We start from the raw sequence: 15,817 nt of genomic DNA, 5'->3' as shown, positions 1-15,817 counted from the left end.
ATAAAGACATGCCAAATTTATCATCGCTCTACAAAATCCCTTTATTGAGCAAAACGTGGCAGCTCTACTTTCAAATGATCTACTGTTCCTGGAAAATTGCAGCAACGTGGATGCCAAGGCCCGAAGGCCGCCATCAGCAGCCAAACAAAAGATGCCACCTCGGGCTCCGCGACACTGTACCATGCCAGGGAACTGGACAGATTTGGGGAATGCCACGGTTTGCCTTTAACCCCTTGCCTCCTGGTCTCCTGATGCATCTCAGAGGCTAACATTCTTTGAGGAACTGGCATTTCTTAGTTGTAAATATGCATGTGGGTTTGGGAGCTGCCTGCAAAGTCCAGTGTTGACGATCAGCTTTGATTTCCTTGGAATCAAGTTTACGTGTCGAGTCTGGAAGTTAAGAAGAATTTGGAGAAGCTGAGCACTATGGTGTTGCAGGCCCTGGGTGAACTCTTCCACCAAGCATTCATTGTGGACTGACAGCGTGCGAGGGGCTCTGCAGGCAGGTGCACAGGACGAAACACATTCCGTCCGGGGGAAACCTGCAGGAAAGCTCCCTCTTCTTCCTAAGGTGCCGGGCCTAGCTTCATGGGTCCCTACCCTCCACGCCTGTCACACTTTCTGAGTCTCATGTGGGAGCTGCTTCTGGTTCCTGACTTCACTCAGTCCTCATAGGAGGTGGAACTACTGTCACCCCATTTTACAGATGGGGAGACTGGGCACAAGGGGACCAAGAAACCAATGCAAAGTCACACTTGTGGGATCAGTGACAGGGGAGATCAATTCCCAGGTTCTTTCTGCAAGAGTTAAATTGTTTTCATGCTGCCTAAGGGGGGGCAACTGAAAGACCACTGCATATCTTTGCCAAAAGGGTCAAGCACAGGAGCCGCAGCCAGTGGGTCAGATCCGCAGAGGCGCTGGGGTGACCCTCCCCATACCTGGAGGGATGCTTGTCCCCTCCTGGCCTTCACTGGGTCCCCTCATGACCGTGGCCTCCCAGGACCTCAGCACAATCCCGGTCCTGTGCTCCAGGACAAGCCCTCCGTCCCCGAGACTGTGAGGAAATGGAACGAAGAGGGGCTCGCTGCAGCCCAGCACCCACACTGCCCCTTCTCAGGGGCAAGAACCGTCCTGGAGGACTTGGCTTTGGAGGGGGAGCCTGGGAGGCCAGTAAGTCAACAAGCCTCTACTGCTCATGGGTGGGATCCCACCGCAGGCCCCCACCTGCTGGGGCGGGCAGGGACGGGCGGCACAGCTTGGCCAGGGCAGATAACCCCCACCTTGGCCAGGGCGAAGGCAGGACACGTGGGCTCCAGCCTGGCCCCACCATCCCTGCACAACACTGGGCAAAGTCCACGTTCTCCTCAACTGGGTGTTGACATCTGCAGGACAGGGGCATGGAGGTACAGAGCGCTGAAGCCACACAGCAACCTAGGAGCGAGACTCCATGCCTCCCCGGGGACCCCTCCCCACCATGAGGACCATGAAGGCTTCCCATATGCCGCAAGGACTCTGGTGTGGAGACACACGTCTCCTACACAGCCAGGCCTAACGCTCTTGTAACTGGGTGGTCCCACCTGGGCTCACAGCTGGAGGGCCAGGAGCTCAAGGCTTCGCAGGGTCTGCTCTCATCCCAGAGGCGATGGGGAGCCACAGCAGGCTGCAGGAGAGAGGGTGGGCCCCCTCCACTTCAGAGGCCCCATCTGGCCCACAGACTGGAGAGCACATCTCTCAGCAACCACGGAGCGCCAACTGCGCACAGGGCCTGGTCGTCAGAGCGGGGCAAAGGCACTGACCGTCACGGCCAGGGCGAGGGAAGACGGGTGGGCAGGGACCTTGGGCAGAGGGGGAAGAACCTGGTGCCCAGGCTGGCCCTGCCTTCAGCAGTGAAGCTGAGTGGGGAGGCGCTGATGCAGGGGGCCAGAAAGGGCTGCTGGTCAGCCGGGAGGAGCCCCCCACAGAGGAAGCAGCCAGCCCAGACGCAGATGGCAGGGTCCCCTCAACAATGTCCTCTGAAAAGGAGAGGCGGGGACTGCTCTGGTGACACCTACAAATAGATAGTCAGCCCTCAGCCCCCTGCCATACTTCTGACAAAGCAGAGGCCCCCAGGGGAGGCGCACCCGAAGGTACCTGCACCTGTCCCCCAGACTCCTAGAGCCCACCTGACCCCATCCCACCAGGGCTCCAGCTACAAAATAAATGCCGAGGCCAGCTAGGCAAGGACGCACACTCGGTACCGACTGAATAGGCTCCACGTTGTCATGAGCGCAACCCACAGGCCACCAGGCCACACTATGCAGAGCTGAGATGGTTTCGGCCAAGCAGCCTCTCAGCTGAGCTGAACAAGTCCAGAGTCCCCGGGGGGTCGTCACTATGGAGTAACAATTGCGATGCGATGGTAACCCTAACAGCTAACCGTCACTGAGCCAGGCCCTGAGCTAGGTACTTTTCAACGCTGCCTCTCTGCAGCCTCAGGACGAGCCTGTGGGAGCATAAAGATCATTCCCTATCACGGATGGGGAAACTGAGCTCTGAAGCAGTTAACGTGCTTGTCCCAGACCGCAGAGCTAGGAGCAGGACACAACAGCAGGTCAGGCAGGAACGGGTGAGGGGGGCCTGCATGGGCTTCTCTGGAGGCTGCGCATACACGCAACCCCCAGGACCCCGACCCTGCACCTGCAGCTCGCTACTGCCCCCTCAGTGACTCCAGCAAACCTCGGGGTAGGGGAAGGAGGCTGGGAATACCTCGGGTGTCCGAAACAGCAGCTTCTGCTTGGAGGCCACTGCTGCATAATGGTTGCTGCCCAGCACACCCCAAGCCACCTGTGCCACCTGTGGTGACCTTCCAGCATGCCTTGGTGACCAAGCTGGCCTTAGGTGCTGTGGGCAGCCAAGAATAGAACAGGGCCCACCCCTCCTCTTCACACTAACACAAAGCAAGAGGCGGGCACTTCGACTGAGTGCATCCCTCTAGCTCAAGGGCCTCACGGATCACAGGGGTCAGGGCAAGATCCCAATTCTGCATTCCCGTCTGCCTTTCATCCTGCTCTGCCAACAACAGCCAGTGAGGCTGGGGACATCCCTGAACCTGTTTCTCACCTGAAACACATCATACCATTGGACCCCAGCCCTCCGGGAGAGGCCCTAATCCCTGACTGTGGTGAGATCAGATCACTGGTTAAGTACCCAGAAGGGCCTTGGTCAGGGGCTCCAGGGGTGGGGGGTGATGGGCGTGGTGGTATCCCGCTCTGGGCTATAGTCCACCCTGATGGAGGAGGTCTGTGGTCAGAACCGGGCTGTGCAGGGCACAGGAGCCCAGAGGGACCCCCAGAGCTCACCTGGTGGTCTCTGAGCAGGGCTCCCTCAACCCTCAGAGAAAAGCACAGCAAGGAGGCCGCCCAGAGCCCAGCGCCTAGCACCCAGTGGCGTGCCAGACCTGCCTGGATCCTGGAGATCTCTCATCACCCTCCAAGTCAGTCATGCCCAACCCAGGGACCCACAGCCCACGGGGCCGTGAAGGTGTGCTGAGTCCAAGAAGGCCTTCGACACTGGGAAGCCAAGTGGCACCTCCTGGTGTGGAGCAGGCGGAATCCCACCAGCCTCTGCTCTGCCAGTGGGCACAGCTGGACGATGAGCAGAAGGGGCTGTTGCTTAATAAACGTCATTTCCTTAAGAGGATAAAACCTTTCAAAACAGATGGAAATTTTTTTTTAATTAAAACTGGTGGCCAAAGAGATGGAAAGCACCCCTTGTGCCTCCCTCCCATCGTGACCCATCCTCTGCACACCTCAAGCTGTTCGCTGCCCAGGTGTCTCCTGAGGCACTGGGGGCGGGTGAGAATCCGTGAGCCCTCGGCCAGCCATGGCTCTCTGGAGCTCTGCCCCAGGCCATCAGGGCACACGCCGGGCACCCTGGGGGCCACACAGGGCAGAGCCCAGCTGGGTCAGCACACAGGGCCACACTGGGCACACAAGTCTCTGAGCCTCCCCTGTGGACGCAGCTCTCACTATCCCACCCCACTAGGTCCCGGGGATCTGTCCCACAGGGTGATATGCTGTCACAGACCACTACCAGAGCCATGGCCTGCTGTTCCGCCCGCAGCCAGGTAGTCACCTGCTCCACAGGGACAGGCAACGCCGCACTTGGGGGCTGCTCTGCGGCAGGACTAGAGCTCCAGCAGCTCAGCCCTCCTGAGAAGGAGAACTCCATGCTCTAAGAGGCAGACGCAGCGGACGGCACCAAAGCCACCACAAGCCCACGGGGCCCTGCATGGCAGGTCAGGAGTCCCTGACCACTCGCTCTTTGTAACCAGAGCTGCAGTGGAGTCTACGAGGCAAGGACTGTGGGTGGCAGTGGCCACAGCAAATGAATGAGTGTCCCAAGGGAGCAGGCGGCTGCGGGGAGGCACAGCCGGGACCCAGGAGTCCTCCGGCACTGCAGCAAACTCCCTGGGCCCCCTGAGCAGCGACCAGGTGGCAAGTGCATGAACTCCCGGGGGCATAACCTGGGAGGGTGACACTCTCTTCGTGTTCAAATTCTTGAGAACGCATTAAAAATATCACTCAGTCACCTACTCTATAGTTTTAACTCAAAAGTACCAAAGTAGCCAGGCGCGGTGGCTCACGCCTATAATCCCAGTACTTTGGGAAGCTGAGGCAAGAGGATCACTTAAGCCCAGGAGTTCCAAATGAACCTGGGCAACATGGAGGGACCCCATTTCTACAAAAAAAGTGTTTTAAAAAATTACCTGGGCCTGGTGGTGTGTGCCTGTAGTCCCAGCTACTCAGGAGGCTGAGGCGGGAGAACCACATGAACCCAGGGGAGGTAGAGGCTGCAGTAGGCTGTGATGGCACCACTGCACTCCAGCCTGGGTAACAGAGTCAGACTCTATCTCAAAATAAATTTAAAAAGCACCAAGCCAGGCTTGGTGGCTCACGCCTGTAATCCCAGCACTCTGGGAGGCTGAGGCAAGTGGATCACCTGAGTCAGAAGTTCGAGACCAGCCCAGCCAACATGGTGAAACTCCATCTCCACTAAAAATACAAAAATTACCCAGGCATGGTGGCGGGTGCCTGTAATCCCAGCTACTCAGGAAGCTGAGGCAGGAGAACTGCTTGAACCCAGGAGGCAGAGGTTGCAGTGAGCCAAGACTGTGCTACTGCACTCAAGCCTGGGAGACAGAACGAGACTCCATCTCAAAAAATAAATAAATCAATCAAAACCACCAAGACTTTTTAATATAAACATTTATTATTCCATAATTCCTTTTTTGCATGATTAAAAATGTTTATATAAAGTTTCCTGAAAATGGTAAGAATGCCAAGTGAAGGCTGCAAATGCCCAAGCCCCCACCGTGGCATCTCACGGAGTCTGGGCCCTAGGAGGCTGGTGGGTACCACGTGGACCCGGGACTTCACAGTCAAGTCCCTTTGGGGTACACTGGGTTTCCCACACCCCAGAAATATGGGCTCTTACTGCAGGACCATGGGGGTCCTCACACTTGGCCCAGAAGCTGTCACATAGCCAGACAGGTGTTCTACAACCTAGGCTAGAGGGAGCTCATGCTCCAGCAGAATTCGAGCCAGAGGAGGTAAAAGATGGGTAAGATCTGCTCCCTGGACAGATGAGGCCTTGGCCTCAGAACAGTTACTGATCATCTACCAGACATCACACTAGAGGCAGAGGGGCGCAGACGAAGACAGCCCCTGTCCTCAAGGCCCTCCCAGGTTGGGTGGACCATGGAAGGTTCCAGACAGATCTGGCAAGAGAAGTGCCCACACCAGGGGCAGAAGATGGGCAGGTCTGCTCAGGGCGGCACGGCCTGCCAGGCCAAAAAGTTCCAACTTCAGATGCTGGAGAATGGGCACGACTGTCTGAGAAAGGGAAGGATGTGATGAAAACTACTTGGAGAAAAATTAATCTGGCCAGAGCATAAGATAAATGGGCAAAGGGGAGGTTCCAGAAAGCAAGGAGACCAAGTAAAAGCTGATGTCATTGGCTCTGAATCTAGGCTTTCACTGAATATGCACCGCAGGGCCTGTAGGTAAAGCCTCAGAGCCCAGGGAGTCTGAGTGGAGGAGAGGGCAGGGGACAGAGCTGGGGCCTGTGTCTACAGTGCTCAGGAGGAATAGGCATGGACGTCAGCTCGGAGGCTCCAGCTGAAGTGAGGAGGCGGCCAGGGCAGCACGGCCACGCCCGGATCCAGACTCCTTTTGGGAAGCAAGTTCGCTCTGGGGGAAAGTTTGGAGAAATGGCCTTTACCCGCAGAAGCAAGCCCCAGAACATATCTTGCTCCAAAACTATCTCGTACAGTGAGGACGTTAAGCTTCAGGTCCCCTAGAGGAGACAGTCTGCTCCTTCCTGGGGCAGAACCCAAGGTGGCCAGAGCCTGGAAGACACCCAGCACCCAGGCTGGTGTGTTCCAGCCCAGGCCACACGCTCAGATAGCTATTAATGCCCCGTTGAGCAATTTCCTGAGAGCTTTGCCAGGCAGGTACCGCCTCCCCATCTGAACTAATACAGGGGTACATCCCAAGGAAGAAATGAAAGGTGCCCACATTTTGCTCTGGGATTAACTAGGGAGGGGAGTGATAATTAACTCAGTAATTATATTTGCCATCGGGCTAATGCTAAAATTAGTGTGCATTAGAATTTCTTTCCTGAGCAGACACCGGAGTGAGTTGGGCAGCAGGAGTGGCTCGGGCAAGTCGGCACAAAGGGCACCTCCAGAGCCTTCCACAAATGTCAGCAAAACCCACAAATGTCAAGGCCGGCTCCACTGCACCCAGCAGATGAATTCACTTCCACAGCCTGAGACCGCCAGCTCATCGGAGGCCATTTAAAATCCAGCCCTCTGACACCTGCTGGATATCACCATTTACCGTCCCCAGATCAAGAGATCAAAGGGTGGAACCTGATAGGACGGCTCTGAAGTTCACCACAAAAGCATAAACGTGCAAGCAGAGCCAATACGTCTTTTGAAAAGGACAATGAGGTGGGAATTTACATAACTGATCTTAAAATATGTTCTGATGCTTCAGAGATGGAGACAGCAGCATTCCGGTACACAAAGACACTCACAGGCAGTGGAGCACAGTGAAGGGTCTGGAATCAGGACCCAGGTGTCTGTGGACACTACACATAAAAGAGCAGCATTTACAATGAATGGATAGGATGGACCATCCCACCAAGGTGTTGGACAACTCCCTATTCACTGGCCAGACCCCTACCTCATACCATATACAAAAAAAAAAAAAAAAAAAAAACCCAGACAGAATAATGTCTGAATGTAAAACATAAAACAGTAACAGTCCTGGAAGAAAATAATGGAGGATATATTTATAATCTGGAGATGGAGTAACAAGGGATAGGAAAAAAGCCATAGGGAAAAAGTAGAGTTATGATTATATGAAGCTTCTTAATATCTTTATGATAATGTACCACCAGAAACAAGGATGAAGGACTAGCTACAGACCAGCAGTGAAACCTGAAACAAACAGAACAAAGAATTAAAGTCCATACCAAATAAAGACCTCCCACAAATCTATAAGAAAAAGATAAACAGGCTGGCACCGTGGCTTATGTCTGTAATCCCAGCACTTTGGGAGGCGGAGATGGGTAGGTCACTTGAGGTCAGGAGTTCGAGACCAGCCTGGCCAACATGGTGAAACCCTGTCTCTACCAAAAATACAAAAATTAGCCAGGCGTGGTGGCGCATGCCTGTAGTCCCAGCTACTTGGGAGGCTGAGCCAGGAGAACAGCTGGAACCCGGGAGGCAGAGGTTGCAGTGAACCAAGATGGCAATCGCGCCACTGCACTCCAGCCTGGAGGACACAGCGAGACTCTGTCTCAAAAAAAAAAAAAAAAGAAGAAGAAGAAAAAAGAAAAGAAAAAGACAACAGAAAAATGGGCCAAGGATAAGTGTAGGCAATTTGCAGAAAAGTAAATACCAATAAACCAGAAATGAGGGTTGTGCAAATCAAAAGGTGTTATAATTTTTAACCAAACTGGACCAAAGAAAACACCAAAAACCAAAATCTTGTAATTGCCAGCATCAGAGAGGATATAGGAAAGTGTGTGTTCTCGTAGATGCTTGCAGGTATGAACTGCTACAGCCTTTTAGGAGTTATGTATGTATGTATGCTTGTATGTATGTATTTGAGACAGGGTCTCGCTCTGTTGCCCAGGCTAGATCTGTTGCAGTGCTGTGATCATGGCTTACTGCAGCCTTGACCTCCTGAGCTCAATAGATTTTCCCACCTCAGCCTTTCAAGTAGCTGAGACTACAGGAGTGTGCAATCATACTCAGCTAATTTTTTAAATTTTTTGTAGACATGGGGGGTCTCCCAATTTTGCCCAGGCTGGTCTCGAACTCCTGGACTCAAGTGATCCTCCTGCCTCAACCTCCCAAAGTGCTGGGATTACCTGGATGAGCCACTGTGCCCGGCCTCAATATCTTTAAAAACAGAAATGGACACACTCTTTGACTAGGAATGTATCCTATAAAAACACTTATACACATGCAGAGACACACGAGCAAGCATGCTTTGTAATAGCAATGAAGGCTGGAAAAACTCCTCAATCAGGTAAATGCTGTCAAGTGCACCTGTGTACTATGAAATGGCACTTGGCTTTTAACAAGAGCAAAGACAGAAAAGCAAAAGTACAAAGTAGGGTGTGATGGCACATGCCTGCAGTCCCAGCTACTCAGGAGGCTGAGGCAGGAAGATCCTTTGAGCCCAGGAGTTGGAGGCCAGGAGCTGGGCAATAGTGAGAAAAAATAAAATTAAATAATAATAATAATAAAATAGGCTGGGCACAGCGGCTCATGCCTGTAATCCCAACACTTTGGGAGGCTGAGGTGGGAGGATCGCTTGATCCCAGGAGTTCAAGGCCAGCCTGGGCAGCAAAGCAAGACACCCATCTCAACGACAAATTTTAAAAAATCAGCCAGGCAGGCTGGGCATGGTGGCTCACGCCTGTAATCCCAGCACTTTGGGAGGCCGAGGCAGGCAGATCACTTGAGGTCAGGAGTTCGAGACCAGCCTGGCCAACGTGGCAAAACCCTGTCTCTACTAAAAATACAAAAATTAGCTGGGCATGGTGGCAGATGCCTGTAGTCCCAGCTACTGAGGCACAAGAATCGCTTGAACCAGGGTGGCAGAAGTTACAGTGAGCCGAGATCGTGCCACCGCACTCCATCCTGGGCGTGAGTGAGACTCCTGTCTCAAAAAAAAAAAAAAAAAAAAAAACAAGGAGCCAGGCACGGTGGGGTGAGGGAGGGCACAGAAGCAGCGCCTCTTCTGGGGGCACCCCCAATCTCTAGCGATCCAGAGGCCTCAGGATCCTGAAGGGAGAAAAAACGTGAAGCTCCGTGCTAGAAGAGACCATAGAGATTGGAATCAGCTGGTTCTATTTTACAAAAAAAGGAAACTGAGGCCCTCAGAAGGTGAGTGCCTCTCAATGCCCCACAGGGAGGCAGGGAGAGGGCTCTGAGCCCTGCAGGGCCCTGGATTCTTGCAATGGGGTGGAGTGGAGCCTGTGCCGCCCCCACCAGGCACCTTCTCAGGAGAGGAGCCGTTGTCATATCCTTGAAGGGGTCCTTGAGCCCCTCAAAAGGCTAAAAACCACTTTCCTCCTTGAGTGAACCTTCACCTCAGTTTAACCACAAGAAAAACTACATTAAGGCCCAGCGCAGTGGCTCATGTCTGTAATCCCAGCACTTTGGGAGGCTGAGGTGGGTGGATCGCTTGAGCCCAGGAGTTCAAGACCAGCCTGGGCAACATAGTGAAACCCTGTCTCTACAAAAAACAACAAAATCAGCTGGGCGTGGTGGTGCACACCTGAGGTCCCAACTACTTGCGGGCTGAGGTGAGAGGATTGCTTCAGCCCAGGAGGTAGAGGCTGCAGTAAGCGGTGACTGAATCACTGCACTCCAGCCTCAGCAACAGAGCAAGACTCAAAAAAAAAAAAAAAAGCAGGCCGGGTGTGGTGGCTCACGCCTGTAATCCCAGCACCTTGGGAAGCCGAGCGGGAGGATCAGGAGATGGAGACCATCCTGGCTAACACGGTGAAACCCCGTCTCTACTAAAAATGCAAAAAATTAGCCGGGCGTGGTGGCGGGTGCCTGTAGTTCCAGCTACTCAGGAGGCTGAGGCAGGAGAAAGGCGTGACCCTGGGAGGTGGAGCTTGCAGTGAGCTGAGATCACACCGCTGCACTCCAGCCTGGGCGACAGAGCAAGACTCCATCTCAAAAAAAAAAAAATTAAATCTCAAAAAAAATTACATTAAGGCAAACTAAAAGATGTTTAAAATATATATATTAAATTAAATACACTCCAATAGAGCAAATAAGAAAATACCCAGAAAACACAATCCCCGCACCCCCAGGACAACCTCCCAGGGGGTCCACAGCAAGAGACCCCAAGCACGAGAGACAGAGAACAGTGTCCCTGTGGCGGAACCTCTGGCCCATCAGGCTCTATTAGAAAATAAGGCTCTTGCCACTGAGAGAAAGAGGCACAGTCGCCCAGCAGCCACGGGCTCTGGCACACCACGAGTCAGGCCAGCAAAGTGTCAACTGCCCCCTACAAGGTGACAAACTAGGACAAACTGGAAACCAGAGGCTGGACCTGGAGCACAGGGACCACCACATGGGGCTGGGGAATGGGCAGGGACCTCAGAGCGCCACCCACATGCCTAAGAGCAGCGCGTATGCGCATGCCTCTGCATGGCTTAGGGACACAGGGAGCTCCCCCCACCCCCAACCCAGGAAGGCAGCCCCCACTACCCAGGTAGGGAACGGATAGGACCAGCACCCCGTTCTGCTCCTAACTCAGGGCTCCAGGCCCCCTCGGGGGCAACCAGCACAGAGCTCAGACCCCAAATATCTTCACCCACCTCCTGGTCCCCATCTGGACAAGGGTGCTGGGGACTGGCTCTCAGTCACACCCTCGGGGTACTCTTCAAAGGACAGCTGGATGCCCCAGGGCAGGAGCTTTTGGCCCCCAGCTCCCTCACCCCAGACACCAGCTCTTGGGACCCCACCAGCATGGGCAAGGTGGACACCATCGTCCCGATTTTGCAGATGAGGAAACTGAGGCTGAGGGCTGGCACACGGCTCTCCAGAGCTGAAGAGAATGCAGAGAGCAGCCGGAGCCAGCCGGTGGGTCCCTGAGGCCGGCTCGTAGCAAGCCACAGCTGCCTCCGCCCATCACACTTGGACCTCACTGGCCCCAGGACAGCCCTCCAGGGCGGCCTGGCACAGAGCCCACACCCTGCTGCTTCCTGAACAAATAAGTGAACAAGGCCACCAAGCCGAGGACCTGGATGTAGCCCCGGCTCCCGCCAGGGCCTCCCCAACAGACTCCCCATTTGGAGAGCGCATTAAGTGTTTCCAAAGCCTCACAAACCACAGATGTCCGGCTGTCTCACGGCTTCTGTAACCTGAACTTGGCCCTCACTCTGCCCTCCCAGCACTCCTCTCAGGGCCCAGGCCCCTCCTCTGAGATGCCAGCACTGACTCCCCAACTTGTCCCCATCACCTGGCTCGTTCCTGAACCTCGGCAGGAGAGTCTCAGGCCAGATCCTCCCACCAGCCACCTCCACCAGGATGCAGGAGGCATGAGACCTGCTCGTGCCGGCTGGGAGATGCAACCAACCAAGATCAATCCAATCAGCGGATGAACTGACAAATATAATGTGGTCCCTCCACACAATGGAATATTATTCAGCCACAAAAAGGGCTGAAATAGGCCGGGCGTGATGGCTCACACCTGTAATCCCAGCACTTTGGGAGGCCGAGGCCGGCAGCTCACTTGAGGTCAGGAGTTCAAGACCAGCCTGGCCAACATGGTGAAATCCCGTCTCTACTAAAAATACAAAAATTAGCTGGGCGTGGTGGCGGGCACCTGTAATGCAAGCTACTTGGGAGCCTGAGGCAGGAGAATCACTTAAACCCAGGAGGCAGAAGTTGCAGTGAGCCAAGATCGCACCACCGCACTCCAACCTGGGCAACAGAGCAAGACTCCATTTCAAAAAAAAAATAAAAGGCTGAAACACCCATACGTGGTACTACTTGGATGACTCCTGAAAACGTTACAGTAACCAAGGAAGTCAGCCACGAAGACGCATTGTAAGATTCCCTTCATGCAAAATGCCCAGAACAGGCAGAACCACAGAGGCAGAAAGTCGACTGGTGTTCACCAGGGGATCCGGGGAGAGGGAACGGGAAGTCACCGTGTAATGGGTATGGGTTTTATTTTGGGGTGATGGAAATCTCTTATAACTTGATAGAAGAGAGGGTTGTAAACACTGTGAATGTACCAAATGCCTGCCTTCTATACTTTAATATTTTATATTATATAAGTTTCACCTCAATTTAAAAAAAAAACAACTCGACACCTTTCACCTAGGAAAGATCTGGCTTTAGCTTGCATTTCCTGTAACTCCTGCCTAAAGCCTTCCAGAAGCTTCCGCTGCCTTGTGGATCACAACCAGACTCCACAGCATGATCTGGCCTCTAAGGGCCTCTCGCAGGACACCCCGAGGGTGAAGGAGCACCCGTGGGCCCACCTCTGCATAGCTGCAAAGCTTCTTTCCCTGTCCTCCCCTCTACATGGGAAGCTCTGCCCGCAGGGGCGGGGCCTTATCTGCCATTCTATCGCACTCAACCCTAGCACTTCACTCGGTAGCAGACACCAAAGCAAAACAGCAACAGCATTATACCGGGCCAGGTGCACGTTAACTCACTGAATTCATGGTAGGAAGGATTCTATTCCCATTTTACAGGTGAGAAAACTGAGGCACACAAAGGTAGCATCAGCTTCCTAAGCCTCCCAGCACAGGAAGCGGCCAGGCTGGAATCAGACCCTGGGCGCAGGGGCTCTGTCCACAGTGCTAACTAACTACTCCTGCCCCCGAGGGCTGCAGCGGTGAGTGAGTGAGTTTGTCAGTGGACTGGATGTCCAAGGTCATACAGGAAAAATCCAGACTATTGTAATAACAGCCTCTAGACCGGCTGGGGCCAGAAAGATCGAGGACGCTGACACACAACTGCGCTCACTGCAGCTCTGCCAGGGATGGGGCTAAAGGTCTCACACAGGGCAGTTAGGGCTCCCCATAGCCTGGGAGAGGAACGGGGTGAGATAACAGAAACTAGGTATGGTGCCCGAAGTCAAACAGCCACTGAGCATGTAAACCCAGGTGGGTCTGACCCCAAACCCCTCCACCCCCATCAGCCCTGCAACCCGTCGCTGCAAGGGAGAAAGCAACTCAGAGGCCTCACCTGCCTACATCCCCCACCCGTGTGTGTGAGTTCTACTAAATGCCTGAGCAGTGACACAGCACGGCTGAAATTAAACGGGTTCCAAAAACGACAGGAAGCACGAGGTGAATCTCCCCAGGAAAGTGCTGAACAAATGCTGGATCGGGTTCACCGGCGAATTTCTTGGAACTGAAGAGGGGAGCTAAACACACGGGGCCCTGCTTTGGAGGGGACTCTCTCAGGGTGCTCCACACAGCACTTGGTTAACCCCACTCAGCCCTTCTGGGCTCTCCCAGAGGGCCCGGCCTTGGCCTTGGGCATCTACAGGAGGAACCTCCAGGGGGAGAGGGGGTGCCTGGACAGGCCGGCCCTGGAACAAGCACTTGGGCCCCGAGGAGAGAGGACTAGGGCTTGGGAGCTGGGGAAGTTCTCAGCACTGGGACCACTAGAACAAAGCCATTTCCGTGCGTTCACAGCTTCCAATTGCAACAGGAAGCAATCAGGAAAAATAATTAGCGGCCCACTTACTGGCTTCGCTGAGGTCCGAGGCATGTATTTCACACAGTAAAACCAGGGATATAACATCAAAACCGTTCTGCAGAAAGATTCCTCCCTTTCCTTCCATTTTAGGCCTGGATCACCACATTCACTGGGGCTCCCAGGCCTTGCTGCCTAATGTTAAAATAATCAACTCTATTTTTGCCTCACACACAACTGAACTCTACAGCTATAATTCTTTCTCCTCAGGGGCTCGAACCACATGGACGACAGGCATTTGACTCCAGCAACATCACCCCAAAACGTGCACAAAACCCAAAACTGCAATGAGGTGAAAGGCAACGCGGTCGGCCTAGAAACCCCCCCTTTAAAACAAACAGTTTCCCCAAAACCCCTTTTGCCTCCTTGACCCAGGCATTTCCGGAAAAAGGAGCGGCGCTGGCCTGTACTCCCCAGATACTGTCGCTGTTTTGTCTTCACCTTGTTTTGCTAGCTCCAGACAAGGCCCCACAATGTAAACACGCTCCTGAAAGAGGCAGATTTGGGGTGAAACTGTCCATAGAATCTCTAGGCTTGGGTCAGAGGCAGGAGGACGTGAAACAAACTCCAAGCTCCTCCTGTTCCCCGCTGTCCCCCACACCTCCAAGCAGAGGCTGCAGCCTGGGGGATCTGACTACAGGGCCACCCCGCTGCACCATTCACACTGGAAATATTCAGGGAGACAGCTGTTTGCCTTAAGGAGGCCCAGACAAAGGGGCCCGAGGTCCTCCCCGCTAAACTGCCACAAACAGAACAGGAGCCGCGGCGTGCACAGGCACTTGCGGCCGTGCCACTTGGCCAGCCATACTCCAGAAAAACAAAACACGCACATCCGAAGAGAATGATTTAGGTAGCAAGAGGCTTGCTTGAAAAACCACATGGCAATCTCCAAATTAAAAGAACATGTGTAGCGTTTCACGACTGCTTAAGTTTCCTGAGTCCTCCTGACCTCAACTCCACCCCCTGGGAAACACCAAAAGTTGGAGAGAAAGTTCCCCCGCCCTACCTCTCCCCACGGGAGTGTACAACTGAGGCACAAGCCTGCCTCCCCCACTGCCCCGCGATCTGGGACCACGTCACCTCCGCGTAGCCGACCCGGGGATGGACACTATCTGGGGACCCGGCGGCCACACGGGGCATTCGGGTCGCCCGGGCACCTGGCAGGTGTCAGTCCGCTTGGAAACCCACAGCCACGCGGCTCACAGGAGCAGCGCCACCGGCCAGGCCGCCCCGCGCCCGGGCTCAGAACTTTCTCGCTGCAACTTCAGCCCGTCCTCGGAGCACGCGGGGCGGCCGCGCGGCCGCTGGAAACAGGCTTGCGAACCGGCTCCCCGGGCCAGGCCCGCCTCCGCGCCCCAAGTCCCCGCTCGGTGCCCGGCCCGGGCCACACGGGCCCAGCGCGGGCTCGGCTCGGCTCCCGGCTTCCCGCGGGCTCGGGCAGGTGAGGACCCGCCCGCGCCGCACCTGGCGGAGCGGGCGCCCTCCTCGCCAGCCCGGGACGCAGCGTCCCCGGGGAGGGCCCGGGTGGGGAGACAAAGGGCCCGCGCGTGGCGGGGACGCCGGGGACGGCAGGGGGATCCCGGGCGCGCGCCCCAACTCGCTCCCAACTCGCCAAGTCGCTTCCGAGACGGCGGCGGCGCCCGCGCACTTGGCCGCGGGGCCGCCCGGGCCATTGTCCGAGCAACCCGCGGCCCCCGGCCGGCCTGCGCCCACCTACCCGCGGCGGGGGCCGGGCAGCCGCACAGCGCCAGCAGCAGCAGCAGCAGCAGCAGCAGCGGCCACGGCGGCCCGGGCGGCGCTGCCTCCATGTTGTCCGGCGGCCGGACGGGCCCGCGCCGCGCTCACTCGGGCTCCATGGCGCGGCGGCGGCGGCTCCTCGCGCGGCTCCCGGCGCCTCCGCCTCCCCCCTCGGGCGCCGCGGACCAGGACGACGGGGAGGAGGGAGCTGGGCGCGCGGGAGCGGAAGCCGCGCCGCGTCTCCGCCCCCCGCCGCCGCCACCCGCGCCCCCCGCACCG

At 55.5% G+C, this 15,817-nt stretch overlaps 1 protein-coding gene and 1 long non-coding RNA gene across 11 annotated transcripts in view, besides 8 other annotated features; both read right to left on the bottom strand.

The window, feature by feature from the left end:
* Positions 1–15,817, bottom strand: part of LRP5 (LDL receptor related protein 5) — a 150,864-nt gene that overhangs the window by 120,952 nt on the left and 14,095 nt on the right. For 3 of the 10 annotated variants that reach the window (XM_005273994.3, NM_002335.4, NM_001291902.2), the window contains exon 1: positions 15,519–15,733. The exons of the other annotated variants lie outside the window; for them this stretch is intronic. In XM_005273994.3, coding sequence (XP_005274051.1) covers positions 15,519–15,609 — 91 coding nt within the window. In that variant the 5' untranslated portion in view covers positions 15,610–15,733. Of the gene's footprint in view, positions 1–15,518; positions 15,734–15,817 lie in introns of those variants that run through there. 10 annotated transcript variants of the gene reach the window in all.
* On the bottom strand, positions 17–14,875 carry LOC124900302 (uncharacterized). Its single transcript, XR_007062749.1, has 2 exons — positions 2,229–14,875; positions 17–1,765 (listed from the first exon to the last, which is right to left on the bottom strand). It is a non-coding gene; the product is annotated as an uncharacterized LOC124900302 (long non-coding RNA).
* Positions 11,050–11,717: an enhancer, noted in NCBI's record as "H3K4me1 hESC enhancer chr11:68084075-68084742 (GRCh37/hg19 assembly coordinates)". NCBI's record gives its function as "activates a minimal SCP1, AML or CMV promoter by ChIP-STARR-seq in naive and primed H9 embryonic stem cells {active_cell/tissue: H9 hESC(naive and primed)}" and the evidence as "EXISTENCE:reporter gene assay evidence [ECO:0000049][PMID:30033119]".
* Positions 12,786–13,285: an enhancer, noted in NCBI's record as "H3K4me1 hESC enhancer chr11:68082507-68083006 (GRCh37/hg19 assembly coordinates)". NCBI's record gives its function as "activates a minimal SCP1, AML or CMV promoter by ChIP-STARR-seq in primed H9 embryonic stem cells {active_cell/tissue: H9 hESC(primed)}" and the evidence as "EXISTENCE:reporter gene assay evidence [ECO:0000049][PMID:30033119]".
* Positions 13,997–14,871: an enhancer, noted in NCBI's record as "H3K4me1 hESC enhancer chr11:68080921-68081795 (GRCh37/hg19 assembly coordinates)". NCBI's record gives its function as "activates a minimal SCP1, AML or CMV promoter by ChIP-STARR-seq in primed H9 embryonic stem cells {active_cell/tissue: H9 hESC(primed)}" and the evidence as "EXISTENCE:reporter gene assay evidence [ECO:0000049][PMID:30033119]".
* Positions 14,872–15,747: an enhancer, noted in NCBI's record as "H3K27ac-H3K4me1 hESC enhancer chr11:68080045-68080920 (GRCh37/hg19 assembly coordinates)". NCBI's record gives its function as "activates a minimal SCP1, AML or CMV promoter by ChIP-STARR-seq in primed H9 embryonic stem cells {active_cell/tissue: H9 hESC(primed)}" and the evidence as "EXISTENCE:reporter gene assay evidence [ECO:0000049][PMID:30033119]".
* Positions 14,872–15,798: a biological region, named in NCBI's record as "H3K27ac-H3K4me1 hESC enhancer GRCh37_chr11:68080045-68080920".
* Positions 15,169–15,238: a silencer, noted in NCBI's record as "silent region_3670". NCBI's record gives its function as "represses an Ori minimal core promoter by ATAC-STARR-seq in GM12878 lymphoblastoid cells {active_cell/tissue: GM12878}" and the evidence as "EXISTENCE:reporter gene assay evidence [ECO:0000049][PMID:35858748]".
* Positions 15,249–15,408: a silencer, noted in NCBI's record as "silent region_3669". NCBI's record gives its function as "represses an Ori minimal core promoter by ATAC-STARR-seq in GM12878 lymphoblastoid cells {active_cell/tissue: GM12878}" and the evidence as "EXISTENCE:reporter gene assay evidence [ECO:0000049][PMID:35858748]".
* Positions 15,599–15,798: a silencer, noted in NCBI's record as "silent region_3668". NCBI's record gives its function as "represses an Ori minimal core promoter by ATAC-STARR-seq in GM12878 lymphoblastoid cells {active_cell/tissue: GM12878}" and the evidence as "EXISTENCE:reporter gene assay evidence [ECO:0000049][PMID:35858748]".

This window comes from Homo sapiens, chromosome 11 (assembly GCF_000001405.40).
Source record: "Homo sapiens chromosome 11, GRCh38.p14 Primary Assembly".
Taxonomy (NCBI): domain Eukaryota; kingdom Metazoa; phylum Chordata; class Mammalia; order Primates; family Hominidae; genus Homo; species Homo sapiens.
Note: the sequence above shows the minus strand (reverse complement) of the source record. Positions and strands in the feature narration are given on the sequence as shown.